Source organism: Homo sapiens, chromosome 7 (genome assembly GCF_000001405.40).
Source record: "Homo sapiens chromosome 7, GRCh38.p14 Primary Assembly".
Classification (NCBI taxonomy): domain Eukaryota; kingdom Metazoa; phylum Chordata; class Mammalia; order Primates; family Hominidae; genus Homo; species Homo sapiens.
In genome coordinates this window covers 149,050,818-149,068,511 of record NC_000007.14, presented here as the reverse complement: position 1 = coordinate 149,068,511, position 17,694 = coordinate 149,050,818, and the positions used below count along the sequence as shown (strand labels likewise).

The following is a 17,694-nucleotide window of genomic DNA, read 5'->3' as shown; positions in this document are numbered from 1 at the left end:
AAGTGATCCTTCTTTCTCAACCTCCTGAGTAGCTGGGACTAAAGGCGCACGCCATCACGTGCCACCATGCCTATTTTTGTATTTTTAGTAGAGACTAAAAATACAAAAAATATAAAATGTGGGCCAGGCTGGTCTTGAACTCCTGACCTCAGGTGATCTACCCACCTCAGCCTCCCAAAGTGCTGGGATTATAGGTGTGAGCCACCGTGCCCGGCCTATACTTCGCCATTTGTCTCTTAACACGGGTGCCCAAGAAGCTGCTGCTTGGGGGGCTGTATTCAATTAACACTTTTAATGTTAACAGGTGTGGACCATCAAGAGATTGTCTCTCCCTGGCTGCCGAATTCTCATTCTTAGAGAGGCAATTTGTTAATTGCTGAACCATCACCTGACATTTCTAGTGGGTCGGGAGAGAGCCCTCTGCTGCCCTGTTGATGCCTAACTACCTGTAACAATCTGATTATTGTAAGTTTTCCTGTATCCAGTATCACCTCCAATATTTATCAAGGAGTTGTGTGAAATACCACCTCACAACCAGATGAAGAATTTTATCACCACCTCCTCCAATTCCTCATGAGGGAGAAGTAGGAATTGCTCTGAGCCTAAGGTAGAAACCGTTCCTGAAATGTTGAAAACCGTCATTGTGAGTAGGTGAGTGGAGTGGTGGAGTAGTGAATCACCTGTACAATGGCACTGTCAAAAGACAAAATTACAACACATTTAGTTTAAAAATCTTAATTGGCTTATTTGGTATTCTAGAATTGAGCAACACTTCATCCCATGAAACAGAATAAGTGGCCCGGCGTGGTGGCTCACGCCTGTAATCCCAGCACTCTGAGAGGCCGAGGCGGGCAGATCACCTGAGGTCAGAAGTTCAAGACCAGCCTGGCCATGGTGAAACCCTGTCTGTACTAAAAATACAAAAAATTAGGTGGGTGTGGCAATGCGAACCTGTAATTCCAGCTACTCGGGAGGCTGAGGCGGGAGAATCGCTTGAACCCGGGAGGCGGAGGTTGCAGTGAGCCGAGATCGTGCCATTGCACTCCAGCCTGGGCAACGAGCGAAACTCGGTCTCAAAAACAAAAACAGAAAAACAGAATAAGTGTTTGGATGAGCCAGCCAAGGCGGGTTTTTTTTTTTTTTTTTAAGAAGGAGTCTCCCTCTGTCGCCCAGGCTGGAGAGCAGTGGCGCTATCTTGGCTCACTGCAACCTCCACCTCCTGGGTTCAAGCAATTCTGCCTCAGCCTCCCAAGTAGCTGGGATTACAGGTATGCGCCACCATGCCTGGCTAATTTTTTGTATTTTTAGTAGAGACGGGGGTTTCACCAGGATGGCCAGGCTGGTCTCGAACTCCTGATCTCGTGATCTGCCCACCTTGGCCTCCCAAAGTGCTGGGATTATAGGTGTGAGCCACTGCACCCGGCCCGCGGTTGGTTTTATGGACAGAAAAAGCTTGGGAAAAGCAGAAACAGAAAACTAAAAGTGGGTTGGTTGTTTCAAAGTTACTTTTTTCTTCTAAAGGTTAAAGCAGAGGGGGTGTCTTCTGGCCGGGCACGGTGGCTCACACTTGTAATCCCAGCACTTTGGGAGGCCGAGGCAGGTGGATTACCTGAGGTCAGGAGTTCAAGACCAGCCTGGCCAACATGGTGAAACCCCCGTCTCTACTAAAAATACAAGAATTAGCCGGGCGTGGTGACACACCCCTGTAATCCCAGTTACTTGGGAGGCTGAGGCAGGAGAAGTGCTTGAGCCCGGGAAGCAGAGGTTGCAGTGAGCCAAGATTGTGCCACTTCACTCCAGCCTGGCCGACAGAGTGAGACTCTGTCTCAAAAAAAAAAAAAAAAAAAAAAAGCAGAGGGGTCTTCCTTATGCTGGCCTGTTTGGTGATGTGGCACTTTTGCATGAGTAACTCCATCTTGGTGTGGTCTCTTGGAGCCTAGTGCTGGAGCTGAGTCCGAACCAATGGACTCCTATTATTTTATTTAATAACAGTTTCTTTTTTCTTTTTTTTTTTTTTTGAGACGGAATCTTGCTCTGTTGCTCAGGCTGGAGTGCAGTGGTGCGATCTCGGCTCACTGCAATCTTCACCTCCTGGGTTCAAGTGATTCTCCCGCCTCAGCCACCCGAGTAGCTGGGACTACAGGCGCGTGCCACCACGCCCGGCTAATTTTTGTATTTTTAGTAGAGACGGGGTTTCACCATGTTGGCCAGGCTGGTCTCAAACTCCTGACCTCAGGTGATCCGCCCGCCTCAGCCTCCTAAAGTGCTGGGATTATAGGCATGAGCCACCGCGCCCGGCCGATAACACAGTTTCATTGTGAAGACAGGCGGCTTGTAGTAGCAAAAATTGAAACCGAAAATGGCGACGTTACACATTCTCCAAATCCCTACTAATTTACATACCTATCAATTTCAGAGGCAATCTCGTGTAACCCTAAAGGAGGTTATCTCTGGAGAGCTTGGAGCAGCTCCAATTCAAGTTCAGAGATCCAGGGAGCCCAGAATGCACAGCGCCGCGGGGGTGCCTCCCGCCAGAAGGCGGCGCTGTGGGATCCCAGCCCGAGCCGTGTCCAGGCACAGGAAAGGCAGAGCGTTCTCAGCATGCCCTGCCTGTGCCCTGGGCAACGGCCGCCGCCGAGCGAGATCCCGGGGTCGCGCAGGGTGGGGCTGGGGCTGAAGGGCGCAGGCCCCGCGTACGGGGGCCGCCCCTGCTTTTCCTCCGCGAGACCAGAGCTTAGACTACGGCAGGACTAGTCCCTGGGGTTCCCCTTCGGGTGTCAGACCCTCTCTGGGCGGTCGCGGGAGGGCTCGGGCTCGCAGGATCTGCAGGTGTTGGGGCTGGGGCAGTGGGGAGTGGTCCGTGGGCCCAAGAGGACGAAGCGGAGTCGGGCGGTTCCGGCTGGGAGGAGGCGCCTCCCCGGGGCTGCCCTGACCTAGTAAAATCTGTGGGGAAGCCCTGGCCGGGGAGCCTTCCCCCAGCTCGCTCCCTGGGGCCTGGACAAAAGGCCGGGAAGGAAACGCAGCCCTGGGCTCTGCGGTCTTTGGAACAGAGACTGCGACTTTTCATCTTCGTTTCCCACCTAGTGTGGGGCCCCCGTGGGTGCTGTACAAATGCTGTGGAATCAAAGAATCAGTGGAGGAGTCCCGCACGCACCCATTGATTTTACTCAGTCCAGAGTTTCCGGAGAGTGCCTGCTTCCCTAAGCGCAGCTTGTGGGCGGAGACTCTGCTGGATGAGGTGCAGATTGGGAGAAAGAACAGGAAATTACGGGTGAGAAAAGAAAAGGATTCCCATAAAGGGCACATGTGAAAGTACAATGCTGAATTGCAATATTAGGCACTTCCATTTTCTTTTTATTTATTTATTTAAGACGGAGTCTCGCTCTGTCACCCAGGCTGGAGTGCAGTGGTGCCATGTCAGCCGACTGCAACCTCCGCCTCCCGGGTTCAAGCGATTCTCGTGCCTCAGCTTCCCAAGCAGCTGGGATTACAGGCGTGCGCCACCACGCCCGGCTAGTGTGTGTGTGTGTGTGTGTGTGTGTGTGTGTGTAGCTGGGATTACAGGCGTGCGCCACCCCCCCCCCCCCCCGGCGAGTGTGTGTGTGTGTGAGTGAGACGGAGTATCACTCAGTTGCCCAGGCTGGAGTGCAGTGGCGCGATCTCGGCTCACTGCAACCTCCGCCTCTCAGGTTCAAGTGATTCTCCTGCCTCAGCCTCCTGAGTTGCTGGGACTACAGGCACGCACCACCATGTCCGGCTAAGCTTTGTATTTTTAGTAGAGACTGAGTTTCACCATATTGGCCAGGCTGGTCTCGAACTCCTGACCACGTGCCCGCCTGCCTTGGCCTCCCAAAGTGCTGGGATTACAGGCGTGGTATTATTAATGTTAATGGTGTTGCGTCTCTGGGGTAGTGACTGCCTAGTCAAGCTTCTATTCTGTTTTCTAATTACTAGGAAACTAAAGGGCATTTTCCTTATTTGCTTTGTCACCTTCTAGGGAAAGTGATGTTTTGCTTTTCTGGTGCAAAATGTTTTGAAGAAGATAATTTCTCATAGCTGTATTGGAGCAAACTGTCACTTTAAATTTTATTTTGGTGAAATGGTACCAATTATGGCCGGGCGCGGTGGCTCACGCCTGTAATCCCAGCACTTTGGGAGGCCGAGGCAGGAGGATCACGAGGTCAGGAGATCGAGACCATCCTGGCTAACACGGTGAAACTCCGTCTCCACTAAAAAATACAAAAAAAAAAAAATTAGCCGGGCGTGGTGGTGGGCGCCTGTAGTCCCAGCTACTCGGGAGGCTGAGGCAAGAGAATGGCGTGAACCTGGGGGGCGGAGCTTGCAGTGAGCCGAGATAGCGCCACTGCACTCCAGCCTTGGGGGCAGAGGCAGACTCCGTCTCAAAAAAAAGAAAAACAAACAAACAAAAAAAAGAAATGGTACCAATTATGGAAGTCTGCAGATGTAACTATTTTTTGCTTATAAACACAGGTGTTTTTGGTGTTTTTAACATCTCAAAATGTTGAAGACAGTTCAATGTGTACTTTATCACGCAGTACTATAACATTATATGACTGTATAGTAGGCTAGGTGCTTACAGAACTATGTCCTATGGTAATTGCTCAAATGTTCATTTAATTGAATCAAATTATTTCAGATTGTGTTTCTCCAGTTACAAATAAGTGTCTGCAGAAGTTCCAATGATTGACTTCTCTATGAGTCTCCCCAAACTATTCCTGTAAAACAAGGGCCTATGTATTCAATATTCCACCTCTGTCAGGGTATAAATCTGCTTTGTTTGCAGCACTGGTTAACTTTTGAAAAGAGGAACAGCAAAATCATCACAAGTCTATTCCTGGAATTATGTCACTAAAGCCTAAGTCAATTCACATGATGAATATTCTGCCTTCTCAAGATTTGTGTCCTAACTCCTTCCCCAATATAACAAAGGTAGAAGGGCTTTTAAACATTACTGATGAGGACAGGTGTGAAGCCACCCTGAGACAAAAGGAAATGTGTTTGGGGTTCCAAGTGGCAATGACCTTTGACGACATGGCCATCTGTTTTTCAATACAGGAGTAGGAGAATCTGGATGGATATCAGAAGGAACTTTACAAGCAGGGGATGAGGAGTATCTGTGAAGCTCTGATCTCTCTAGGCAAGATGGGTTTTTGTTGAAAATTTGAGAGTAATTCATGAAATCAGAGACTAAGCAAGTCTCTGCAGGTTACCTGTTCTTTCTGTTGGCTGCTTGGTTGGCCTCTGGAGACAGCAACCTACTTATCAGTAGGATATCCTGAGAAAAATTATTTCCTTGATAATTATGCCTAGTTCATGTCTTCCAAGTATCCTATTTGCCTTATAATACCTTAATCAAATGCTTTATTGCCACCAATTTCTTAGGGTCTCTGCATTTTGGCTTTATTGTCTTAGAACGCAACCCACAAAACAGCCAGAAGTGTATGTGCCAGTTAAATCAATGCTCATCTTTCCAGAATTTTCATTCCTTTATTTAATTCAGGAGAAATCAATAAACACTTATTGCATACTTCCCATGTATCAGATTCTGGGGTAAGTAGAAAGATAAATAAAATATAGTCCCTACCTTCATGGGGCAAATAGCCCACTGAGAGAGACATATGGGCCGGGTGCAGTGGCTCACACTTGTGATCCCAGGACTTTGGGAGGCCAAGGCGGGCAGATCTCCTGAGGTCAGGAGTTTGAGACCAGCCTGGCCAACATAGTGAAACCCGGTCTCTACTAAAAATACAAAAATTAGCCACGCATGGTTGTGGGCGCCTGTAATCCCAGCTACTGGGGAGGCTAAGGCAGGAGAATTAATTGCTTGAATCCGGGAGGTGGAGGTTGCAGGGAGCTGAGATCATGCCCCTGCACTGCAGCCTGGGTGACAGAGTGAGACTCCATCTCAAAAAAAAAAAAAAAAAAAAAAGGCATATGTATTGCGTGAGGGCACTTTTGCTTGCAGATGACAGAAACTCAGCTCAAAGTACCTAAAGGAAAAATAAAAAGTAGCTTATAGGTTCATGTAATAGGAAGCCCAGTGGTCGGATTGTCTTCACAGCTGGCTGGGTGCAGGGGCTCACGCCGTGGTTCAGGGCACTTTTGTGCTCTTTCTTCTTAGTTTTGCTTCCCTCTGTGTTGACCTTATTTTCTCCAACTGCATAGGTTTCTTTCATATGCTGAGAATGATAGTTGCCAATGGCCCCAATTTCACTTCATGTTCCCAAAGGTGTTCTCCAGATAAGGCAGATTTACAATTGCCCTCAGCATTTTTTCTTTTTTCTTTTTTTTTGAGACAGAGTTTCACTCTTGTTGCCCAGGCTGGAGTGCAATGGCACAATCTCGGCTCACTGAAACTTCCGCCTCCTGGGTTCAAGCGATTCTCCTGCCTCAGCCTCTCGAGTAGCTGGGATTACAGGCGCGCGCACAAGGCCCAGCTAATTTTGTATTTTTAGTAGAGATGGGATTTCACCATATTGGCCAAGATGGTCTCGAACTCCTGACCTCCGATAATCATCCCACCTCGGCCTCCCGAAGTGCTGGGATTATAGGCCTGAGCCACCGTGCCTGGCCACGCTGTCAGCATTTTTAAAGGCTCAGAGAGGCCCTGCAACAAATAAACCTGTTAAACTTTGTTTAATCTGTCATTTCCCAAGTTTATTTCATCTGAGAACCGCCCCCCCCCCAACTTTTTTTGTTTTTTTTTTAACAGAGTTTCGCTCTTGTTGCCCAGGCTGGAGTACAATGGGGCGGTCTTGGCTCACTGCAGCTCTGGCCTCCCAGATTCAAGTGATTCTTGTGCCTCAGCCTCCGGAGTAGCTGGGATTACAGGCGCCTGCTACCATGCCCGGCTAATTTTTTTTTTTTTGGAGACGGAATTTCGCTCTTGTTGCCCAGGCTGGAGTGCAATGGCGCAAGGGGGCTTGGCTCACCGCAACCTCTGTCTCCCGGGTTCAAGCGATTCTCCTGCCTCAGCCTCCCAAGTAGCTGGGATTACAGGCATGTGCCACCACACCCCGCTAATTTTGTATTTTTTTAGTAGAGACGGGGTTTCTCCATGTTGGTCAGGCTGTTTTCGAACCCCTGACCTCAGGTGATCTGCCCGGCTCAGCCTCCCAATTCTGGAAAGATGAGCATTGATTACAGGCGTGAGCTATTGCGCCTGGCCTGTATTTTTTATTTTTTTTTAGTTTTTTAAGATGGAGTCTTGCTCTGTTGCCCAGGCCGGAGTGCAGTGGCGTGATCTAGGCTCACTGCAACCTCCGCCTCCCAGGTTCAAGCAATTCTCCTGCTTCAGCCTCCCAAGTAGCTGGGAAAATTAGCACACCGCCACGCCTGGCTAAGTTTTTGTATTTTTACTAGAGATGGGGTTTCACCAGATGCCCAGGCTGGTCGCGAACTCCTGAGCTCAGACAATGTGCCCCGCTTGGCCTCCAAAGTACTGGGATTACAGGCGTGAGCCACCGCTCCCGGCCTAATTTTTGTATTTTTAGTAGAGATGGGGTTTCACCATGTTGGTCAGGCTGTTCTCGAACTCCTGACCTCAGGTGATCTGCCTACCTCGGCTTCCCAAAGTGCTGGGATCACAGGCATGAGCCACCGCACCTGGCTGAGAACACTTTTTACAAATATTTGGTAGCCACACCCTTTAGGACTGGAATTCTGTGGAATTCACTTTGGGAAGTATTGTGAATTTCTTATACAAAGGACGGAGCAATTAATTCTTCCTGTGTAGGTTTCACTAAGGAAAAGTCGGTTGCTCTAGGCCTTAAATGATTTAAAAAGAGAAAGAAAAAAATATTTTCCTGGGTTAAGGAGATGGGAGAGGGCATTTCAAGAGGGTTTGAGAAAAGACAAAGGGTGGTGAAAATGGAGTGCGTTCAAGACTGCCCTGTCATCTTTTGTGGCTAGATCATAGGATTCTTTGGGGGAAAATGGCAGGAAATAACCTGTGTGAGGCCAGCTCATGGACGGCCTTGAATGCTGCATTGGATTTGGCCTGCATCCTAAAGGCATTAGGCTGCCACAGGGGCTTTAGAAATGAGAAGGGAATGATCTGTATATTGGAAAGTTAACTGATCACATGATGTAGGTTGAATGAATCTGGAGAAACTGGAAGCAAAATGGCTAGATAAGAAGCTATTTCTGCTGCAACTTCTCAACTCTAACTCTCCTGTTACAACATGAAAGCAGCATAAAAGATACATAAACAAGTGAGAGTGGCTGTGTGCCAATAGAAATTTATTCATGAGTTCTGAAACTTGCATTACATATCATTTTTACATGCCATGAAACATCCTTCTTTTGATTTTTTTTTTTTTTTTTTTTGAGATGGAGTCTTGCTTTTTTTGAGGCTGGAGTGCAGTGACTGGATCTTGGCTCACTGCAACCTCCACCTCCCGGGTTCAAGCAATTCTCATGCCTCGGCCTCCCAAGTAGCTGGGATTACGATGGCTAATTTTTTTTTTTTTTTTTTTGAGATGGAGTCTTGCTCTGGGTTCAAGCAAGTCTCGTGCTTCAGCCTCCCACGTAGGTGGGATTACAACGGCCTTTTTTTTTTTTTTTTTTTTTTTGAGACAGAGTCTTGCTCTGTCCCCCAGGCTGGAGTGCAGTGGCGCTATCTCGGCTCACTGCAAGCTCCACCTCCCGGGTTCACACCATTCTCCTGCCTCAGCCTCCCAAGTAGCTGGGACTACAGGCACCTGCCACCACGCCCGGCTAATTTTTTTGTATTTTTAGTAGAGACGGGGTTTCACCGTGTTAGCCAGGATGGTCTCGATCTCCTGACCTCAAGATCTGCCCACCTCGGCCTCCCAAAGTGCTGGGATTACAGGCGTGAGCCACCATGCCCAGCTTTGTTTTTTTTTGTTTTGAGACAGAGTCCCACTGTGTCTCCCAGGCTGGAGTGCAGCGGTGCAATCTTGACTCACTGCAACCTCCGCCTTCTGGGCTCAAGCAATTTTCTTGCCTCAGCCTCCCAAGCAGCTGGGATTACAGGAGCCCATCACCACGCCAGGTAATTTTTTTTTTTTTTTTTTTTTTTGTATTTTTAGTAGAGACGGGGTTTTGCCATGTTGGCTACGCTGGTCTCGAACTCCTGACCTCAGGTGATCTGCCTACCTCAGACTCCCAAAGTGCTGGGATTATAGGTGTGAGCCACCGGCCCAGCTGTATTTTTTTTTTTAGTAGAGACAGGGTTTCACCATGTTGGCCAGGCTGGTCTCGAACTCCTGACCTCAAGTGACTCACCTGCCTCAGCCTCCCAAAATGCTGGGATTACTGGCGTGCGCCACTGTGCCCGGCCCTTCTTTTGATTTTTTTTGTTTTCTACAGCTAAAAAGTGTACGGCCAGTCATGGTGGCTCACAACGGTAATCCCAGTGCTCTGGGAGGCTGAAGCAGGATTGCTTCAGCCCAAGAAGTTGGGCTGCAGGGAGCTGTGATTGTGCCACTGCCCTCCAGCCTGGGTGACAGAGCAAGACCCTTGTCTCTTAAAAAAGGAGAAATATAAAAACCATCCTTAACTCATGGAATGTGAAAATAAAAGAGGCAGGCACTGGATTTGCCCCACAAGCTGTAGTTTGCTGATCTCTGTCTACAGCTCAGAAGACATGGAACTGGTATCAAATGCAAGCTTGTCCAACCCTCAGCCTGCAGGCTGCTTTGAATGTGGCCCAACACAAATTCATAAACTTTCTTAAAACATTATTAGTCGGCCGGGCACGGTGGCTCACGCCTGTAATCCCAGCACTTTGGGAGGCTGAGGCGGGTGGATCACGAGGTCAGGAGATCGGGACCATCCTGGCTAACATGGTGAAACCCCGTCTCTACTAAAAATACAAAAAAAATTAGCCGGGCGTGGTGGCAGGCGCCTGTAGTCCCAGCTACTCGGGAGGCTGAGGCAGGAGAATGGTGTGAACCCAGGAGGCGGAGCTTGCAGTGAGCCCAGATAGGGCCACTGCACTTGATCCTGGGCGACAGTGCAAGACTCCGTCTCGAAAAACAAAACAAAACAAAACAAAAAACAAAAAAAATTATTAGTCTTTTTGTGATTTTTTTTTTAGCTCATCAGCTATATTAGTCAGGGATCTCTAGAGGGATGGAACTAATGGAATATATATAGAATATATAATATATATAAGTTAATATAATATATAATATGTGTTATATAAATATAATATATAAATTATAATATATAATAAGTATATAATATATATTATATATAAAATATATATGGGGGAGTTTATTAAATGTTACTCACACCATCACAAGGTCTCACAGTAGGCCATCTGCAGGCTGAGGGGCAGGGAGAGTGAGTCAGAGTTCCAAAACTGAAGAACGTGGAGTCCGATGTTCGAGGGCAGGAAGCATCCAGGATGGAAGAAAGATGTAGGCTGAGAGGCTAGGACCGTCTCTCCTTTTCACATTTTTCTGACTGCTTATTATTCGCTGGCAGCTGATTAGATGGTGCCCACCCAGATTGAGAGTGGTCTGCCTTTCCCAGCCCACTGACTCAAAAAGTAAACTCCTTTGGCAACACCCTCACAGACACACCCAGGATCAATACTTTGTATCCTTCAGTCCAATCAACTTGACACTCAGTTTTTTTTTTTTTTTTTTGAGATGGAGTCTCGCTCTGTCGCCCAGGCTGGAGTGCAGTGGCGCGATCTCGGCTCACTGCAAGCTCTGCCTCCCGGGTTCACACCATTCTCCTGCCTCAGCCTCCCAAGTAGCTGGGACTACAGTCGCCCGCCACCACGCCTGGCTAATTTTTTGTATTTTTAGTAGAGACATAGTTTCACCATGTTAGCCAGGATGGTCTCGATCTCCTGACCTTGTGATCCACCCGCCTCAGCCTCCCAAAGTGCTGGGATTACAGGCATGAGCCACTGCGCCCGGCCGACACTCAGTTTTAACCATCACAAATCCACCCCTTGTCAACTTGAATCAATACACATCTCCTGAGATCATATATAATCTTCAAATAAAGATAATAATAGGGTCATAATTATGCCTAACATAATATAACTATCCTTCGTACAACCGGAAACGCACCAATCCCCAACCCAAATACTATGACATAAAGTTAACAATACTTAAATGCTGATGTGAAGTCAATAAATCTAAATGTCATGTGATACAGAAGAAAGGAAATAACATGTTTTTTGTTGTTGTTTTTTTTTTTTTGAGACGGAGTTTTGCTCTTGTCGCCCAGGCTGGAGTGCAATAACACGATCTCAGCTCACTGCAATCTCTGCCGCCTGGGTTCGAGCAATCCTCCCAGCCTCCTGAGTAGCTGGGATTACAGGCGTGCACCACCACGCCCAGCTAATTTTTTTATTTTTTTGTAGAGATGGGGTTTCGCCATGTTGGCCAGGCTGGTCTTGAACTCCTGACCTCAGGTGATCCACCTGCCTCGGCCTCCCAAAGTGTTGGGATTACAGTCGTGAGCCACCACGCCTGGCCTAACATGAAGATATTTTCTTAAGTAGAAGTGTATAAATGCACAAACACGTTTTTAACAAAAGGAGGAAATACTCATGAAAATTACAGTCCTCCTTTTTGCAGCTGGTCATGCGGTCATAGCTGGTATTAATGACTACCTTCTTCACTACCCGTTCTGTGTTCCCTTTATCTTCAGCAAGCACCTCAGCAGGTTGTGGTATTTTCCTGGTGGAGTGACCCAAACCTTCATTCCTGAAGGGTCTGGGTCACTTGTAGTCCTTCCTGGATTGTGCTGTTGTAGTTTCCGGTAGACCTTAATCACAGGGCATGGTAGTATCACATGGTAATACTAAGAGACACCCCAGGCTGGGCGTGGTGGCTCACGCCTGTAATGACACCCTAGGCCGAGGCAGGTGGATCACGAGGTCAGGAGATCGAGGCCATCCTGGCTAACATGGTGAAACCCCGTCTCTACTAAAAATACAAGAAAATTAGCCAGGCGTGGTGGCGGATGCCTGTAGTCCCAGCTATGTGGGAGGCTGAGGCAGGAGAATGGCGTGAACCCGGGAGGCGGAGCTTGCAGTGAGCCGAGATAGCATCACTGTGCTCCAGCCTGGGTGACGGGGCGAGACTCCGTCTCAAGAAGAAAAAAAAAGAGACACCCTAATGGATCTCCTCTATTCCATGCATACTCTTCCTTACCTCCGCTGTGGAGTAGTAGACTGATTTCATCTTGATAGTGCGGGTCAGTCACCCCAGCCCACACTGTAACTCCCTTCTTAGCCTGTTGATTTAAAGGTAGGAGGAGCCCAAAGTGTCCAGGTGGCAATCTTAACTTCCAGTTTAATGGAATCGTGTCTCCTGGTGGCAGCATTCCTCCCTCTGGAACTAAGACCTCTAGGCCAGCAGAACATAATGTCACAGGAACAGGAAGCAAAAATTTTGCTAGTGGATTACTAGGGGTGATGGTGAGTGGTGCCACTTCCACTTCAACCCCTTGATTCCTGGATCCGTGAATTCTGGCTATGGGAGAAACGGTACCATATATTGGACGCTGATTCAGAGCATACATGGTCTTGTGGAGAACTTTACCCCAGCCCTGCAGAGTATTGTCACCTAGTTGGAGTTGTAATTGTGACTTCAATTACAGTGAAGGCCATTCCACCATTCTATCAATCCAGCTGCTTCAGGATGATGGGCAACATGGTTAAGACCAGTGAATTCCATGAACATGAGCCCACTGTTACACTTCTTCTTTCTTTCTTTCTTTTTTTTTTTTTTTTTTGAGATGGAGTCTCGCTCTGTCACCTAGGCTGGAGTGCAGTGGCACGATCTTGGCTCACTGCAAGCTCTGCCTCCCGGGTTCACGCCATTCTGCCTCAGCCTCCCGAGTAGCTAGGACTACAGGCGCCCGCCACCACGCCCGGCTAATTTTTTGTATTTTTAGTAGAGACGGGGTTTCACCCTGTTGGCTAGGATGGTCTGGATCTCCTGACCTCGTAATCCACCCACCTCGGCCTCCCAAAGTGCTGGGATTACAGGCATGAGCCACCGCGCCCGGCCGCCCACTGTTACACTTCTTTAGCCCTAAAGTGAGTGCCTTGGTCAGAGGCAATGCTGTGTGGAATACCATGCATTCCGTGAGTCCACAGATGGTAGTCTTGGCAGAAGCATTGCCTGCAGGATAGGCAAACCCATATCCAGAGTAAATGTTTATTCCAGTGAGGACAAACCTCTACTGTTTTCATGATGGAAGAGGTCCAATATAATCTTCCTGCCACCAGGGAGCTGGCTGATTGAATGGTGCCATATCGAGGGCTCAGTGTTGCTCTCCACTGCTGGCAAATTGGGCACTCAGCGGTGGCCAGAGCCAGGTCCACCTTGGTGAGTGGAAGTCCATCTTGCTGAGCCCACACGTAACCTCCATCCCTGCCACCATGGCCACTTTGTTCATGGGCTCATTGGGCGATGATGGGTGGCTGGGGAAAGAGGCTGAGTGGTGTCCACAGAACGGGTCATCCTATCCACTTGATTATTAAAATCCTCCTCTGCTGAGGTCACTTAGCGGAGCACTCACATGGAATACAAATATCTTCACAGTTTTTGACCACTCAGAGAGGCTCCATCCACATACCTCTTCCCCAGATTTCTTTTTTTCTTTCCTTTTTTTTTTTTTAAGACAGATTCTCACTCTCGCTCAGGCTAGAGTGCAATGGCGCAATCTTGGCACACTGCAACCTCTGCCTCCCAGGTTCAAGTGATTCTCCTGCCTCCGCCTCCTGAGTAGCTGGGTTTGCAGGTGCCCACCACCACACCTGGCTCTAATTTTTGTATTTTTAGTAGAAATGAGGTTTTACCATGTTGGCCAGGCTGGTCTTGAACTTCTGACCTCAGGTGATCCTCCTGCTTCAGCCTCCCAAAGTGCTGGGATTACAGATGTGAGCCACCATGCCCAACCCATTTTCCTGACCCTTTCTGTTTGCATTGGACCTTAACTGTTATTTTTCTGCTTATATAAATTAAATAGGAATGCAGTAGGCTGCCTATCAATTTCACTTCTAGGAACACTGATTAATTAGCTAATGCCAGAGTTCTACACGAGTCAGACTATTCTGATTGCCACTTTGCCTCTGCTGTCTGTTAGGGTAGCTATGCCCACCTTGCCTTTGACAATTGAGTGCTGCCACTTGGTGTCTGCCAACTTGGGATCCAGTTATTCCCACTGTACTTAAATTTTTTTTTTCCCATGAGTTTTTATTAGCAGTGAAGTCATGATTTTGGATGCCGGGGTGGGGATCACCGGGTACTAGGTCCCCCTTCACCACCCTGGGAGAAGGACAGAGGACAGAGGAGAGGGAGGTGCAGCCAGTTCAGATCTTCCCGGGAAACGTGCCTTCAGCCCAGTGCTTGTCCCAGGCTGTGACCCAGTATGTGGGGCAGAGGGACTTGTACACATGCTGGTACCATTCGCACACAGAGATATCACCTCCTTTAGTGGTCACTGCCTTCTGACAGCAGTGGAAGTCCAGGTAGTTCTGCTAGCAGTTCCTGGTCTGGTTCTGGTTGGGAAGCAGCTGTCAAAAGGGGCAGTCTTGTAGTTCTTGATTTCGGTCTCGATGTCTTCTTCCGCCATGGTGCTGAATCCCAAAGGCAGCCTAGATACAACTTCTGTATTTAAATTTTGTAGTTGAGTGACTGAGATTCCCACTATTGGATCGGACATACAGAGAAGAGCAATTACAGGGCTCTTCAAAGATGCAGGTGCTGCCCTCACAAATCTATTTTGCAAAGCACTGGTCAAGGGTATATCTTCTGGACCTTTCCAGCTGGGATGAGTAGGTCTAAAGTGACTAATGCACTCCACCATCCCAATCTCCCTAAGCTTTCAGATCCCTTGCTCTACATTAAACCAAGGGAGATCAGGCATTTACAGCTCGCTCACAGTGGGCCATCTTCTAATCCATATTTCAGCTGACTAAGCAAATAAACTATTAGAACCTTTTTTTTAACTCCCTGAGCTGCAACATTAAATGCAGAGTCCCTAATTAGTAGGCCCAAATCAATAAATTCAGCCTGATCCAACCCTGTGTTTCTTCCATCTATTTATTTATTTATTTATTTATTTATTTATTTATTTGAGACAAAGTCTCACTCTGTTGCCCAGGCTGGAGTGCAGTGGCATGATCTTGGACTCACTGCAACCTCTGCCTCCCGGGTTCAAGCAATTCTCCCTGTCTCAGCCTCTCAAGTAGCTGGGATTACAGGAGCCCGCCACCAGCCCAGCTAAGTTTTGCATTTTTTTTCGTAGAGACAGGGTTTCACCATGTTGACCAGGGTGGTCTTGAACTCCTGACCTCAGGTGATCCGCCCACCCTGGCCTCCCAAAGTGCTGGGATTACAGGCATGAGCCACTGTGCCCGACCTGTTCCTTCCACCATTATCCCACACCCTTAATATCCATTCCCATGCCTGTTCTCCAGATTTCTGTTTATATAAATTAGAAAACTCAAGCAGTTCTTTTCAAGTGTAGCACATGTCCTAATGGGTCACACTCTCAGCCTCACCTCTAGGGGCCCACCAGGACTTTAGTTATAGGTCTAGAAGCAAACACGGGTGTTGGGGTGGTTTTTGAGGAGAATCAACAGTATCTTGCCTGGCAACTGCCTCAGGGGAGGCCATCACTGTTGTCTCAGGCAGCACAAGCTGTATCTCCTCAGACAAAGGTGGAAAGGCTGATGGCAGCATAGTCGGGGAGGGATGTTGCCACTACTGGAGATGGGGAAGCTGTTCCTTCTGGCAAAAAAGGTTCATCAGAGTTTACAAACTCAGTGCCCCCAGCTTCATCAGGGTCCTCCCACACGTCCCCATTCCAAGTTGCAGGGTCCCATTCTTTTCCGATCAATGCCCTCACTTTAATAGTAGACACCTGGCTGGGCGCGGTGGCTCATGCCTGTAATCCCAGCACTTTGGGAGGCCAAAGTGGGCGGATCACGAGGTCAGGAGATCGTGACCATCCTGGCTAACATGGTGAAACCCCGTTTCTACTAAAAATACAAAACAAAACAAAAAAAAAATTAGCCAGGCGTGGTGGCTGGCGCCTGTAGCTGGCGGGTGCCTGTAGTCCCAGCTACATGGGAGGCTCAGGCAGGAGAACGGTGTGAACCCTGGAGGCGGAGCTTGCAGTGAGCCCACATCGGGCCACTGCACTCCAGCCTGGGCAACAGTGTGAGACTCCATCTCAACAAACAAACAAACAAACAAAAAAACAGTAGACACCTGGTGAGGCTGTGCATGCACCTGTCACTGCAGGTCAGCCACTCACATGATAAGAGCTTGTGTCAGTTTTTCCACAATTTCAGCTCTTTCTCTACAGGAGATGAGACTCTCAGGACAATCTTAGCAGATTTGAGGCTCAGTATCTGCTTCTGAAGCTGGGAAATAGAATCCCTGAGTTCATTATTTTATTTCATCGCTCTGTCCATTGAATTTAGAAGCAACCAACCAGCTTCATTTTGTTCCTTGGTTCTCCACATATGGTGAAAGGTATTAGGTACAGAGTCACTAAACTCCTTGCCTCTCACAAGCAATGAATCAGGAGTGTCAAATGCATTTATTTTGCACAACTCTCTAAACAGTTCATGCTAAAGGACTATCAGTGTTCTCCAAACTATTAGAAGTATAGTCCTTAGCATTTCTAATCATATTAAGCAGCTGACTCCAGAAACCCCAAAACCAACAAAAGAACTCCATCCTTAATATTCTGTTCCTCTAGAATCACTCCTGGTACTAAAATCTGTATTAGTCAGGGTTCTCTAGAGGGACAGAACTAATGGAATATATATATGTATGTTTATATATATATGAGTTTATTAAGTATTAACTCACACGATCACAAGATCCTGCAATAGGCCATCTGCAGGCTGAGGAGCAAAGAAAGAGTTCCAATACTGAAGAACTTGGAGTCCGAGTTTCAAGGGCAGGAAGCACCCAGCATTGGAGAAAGATGTAGGCTGGGAGGCTAGGCCAGTCTCTTCCCATTTTCTGCCTGCTTATATTCTAGCCATGCTGGCAGCTAATTAGATTGTGCCCACCCAGATTGAGGGTGGGTCTGCCTTCCCCAGCCTACTGACTCAAATGTTAATGTCGTTTGGCAACACCCTCACAGACACATCCAAGATCAATACTTTGTATCTTTCAATCCAATCAAGTTGACACTCGGTATTAACCATCACATCAGCTATCGTTAATGTTAGTGTATTTTATGTGTGGCCCAAGACAATTCTTTCAATGTGGGCCAGGGAAGCCAAAAGATTGGACACCCCTAGAGTAGAGGATTGTTGCAAAGAAGTCAAGGATGTGAATACTTGTGGTGAGTGTGGCTACTCGCCTAACCAGTGAGGCAATCAGTGAGGTAAGTCCCAGTCAGACAGTCCTCATGCAGGAATAGAGCACAGGAAGAGACCTTTGTAAGTGGTGATGAGAGGTGTTATTGGTTGGCCAGGCACAATTGCTCATGTTTGTAATCCCAGTGTTTTAGTAGGCCAAGGTAGGAGGATACCTTGAGCCCAGGAATTCAAGGCTGCAGTGAGCTATAATTGTGCCCTACACTCCAGTCTTGATGACAGAGTGAGACCCTGTCTCTAAAAAAAAAAAAAAAATGAGAGAGGCCAGGCGCGGTGGCTCATGCCTGTAATCCCAGCACTTTGGGAGCCCGAGGCGGGCGGATCAC

At 47.9% G+C, this 17,694-nt stretch overlaps 1 pseudogene, besides 3 other annotated features; it reads right to left on the bottom strand.

Moving 5' to 3' along the window:
* Positions 2,325-3,207: an enhancer, noted in NCBI's record as "H3K27ac-H3K4me1 hESC enhancer chr7:148762397-148763279 (GRCh37/hg19 assembly coordinates)". NCBI's record gives its function as "activates a minimal SCP1, AML or CMV promoter by ChIP-STARR-seq in primed H9 embryonic stem cells {active_cell/tissue: H9 hESC(primed)}" and the evidence as "EXISTENCE:reporter gene assay evidence [ECO:0000049][PMID:30033119]".
* Positions 2,606-2,835: a silencer, noted in NCBI's record as "silent region_18744". NCBI's record gives its function as "represses an Ori minimal core promoter by ATAC-STARR-seq in GM12878 lymphoblastoid cells {active_cell/tissue: GM12878}" and the evidence as "EXISTENCE:reporter gene assay evidence [ECO:0000049][PMID:35858748]".
* On the bottom strand, positions 14,205-14,645 carry COX6B1P1 (cytochrome c oxidase subunit 6B1 pseudogene 1; annotated as a pseudogene).
* Positions 17,288-17,488: a silencer, noted in NCBI's record as "peak6833 fragment used in MPRA reporter construct". NCBI's record gives its function as "represses an SCP1 promoter by STARR-seq MPRAs in K562 erythroleukemia cells {active_cell/tissue: K562}" and the evidence as "EXISTENCE:reporter gene assay evidence [ECO:0000049][PMID:32103011]".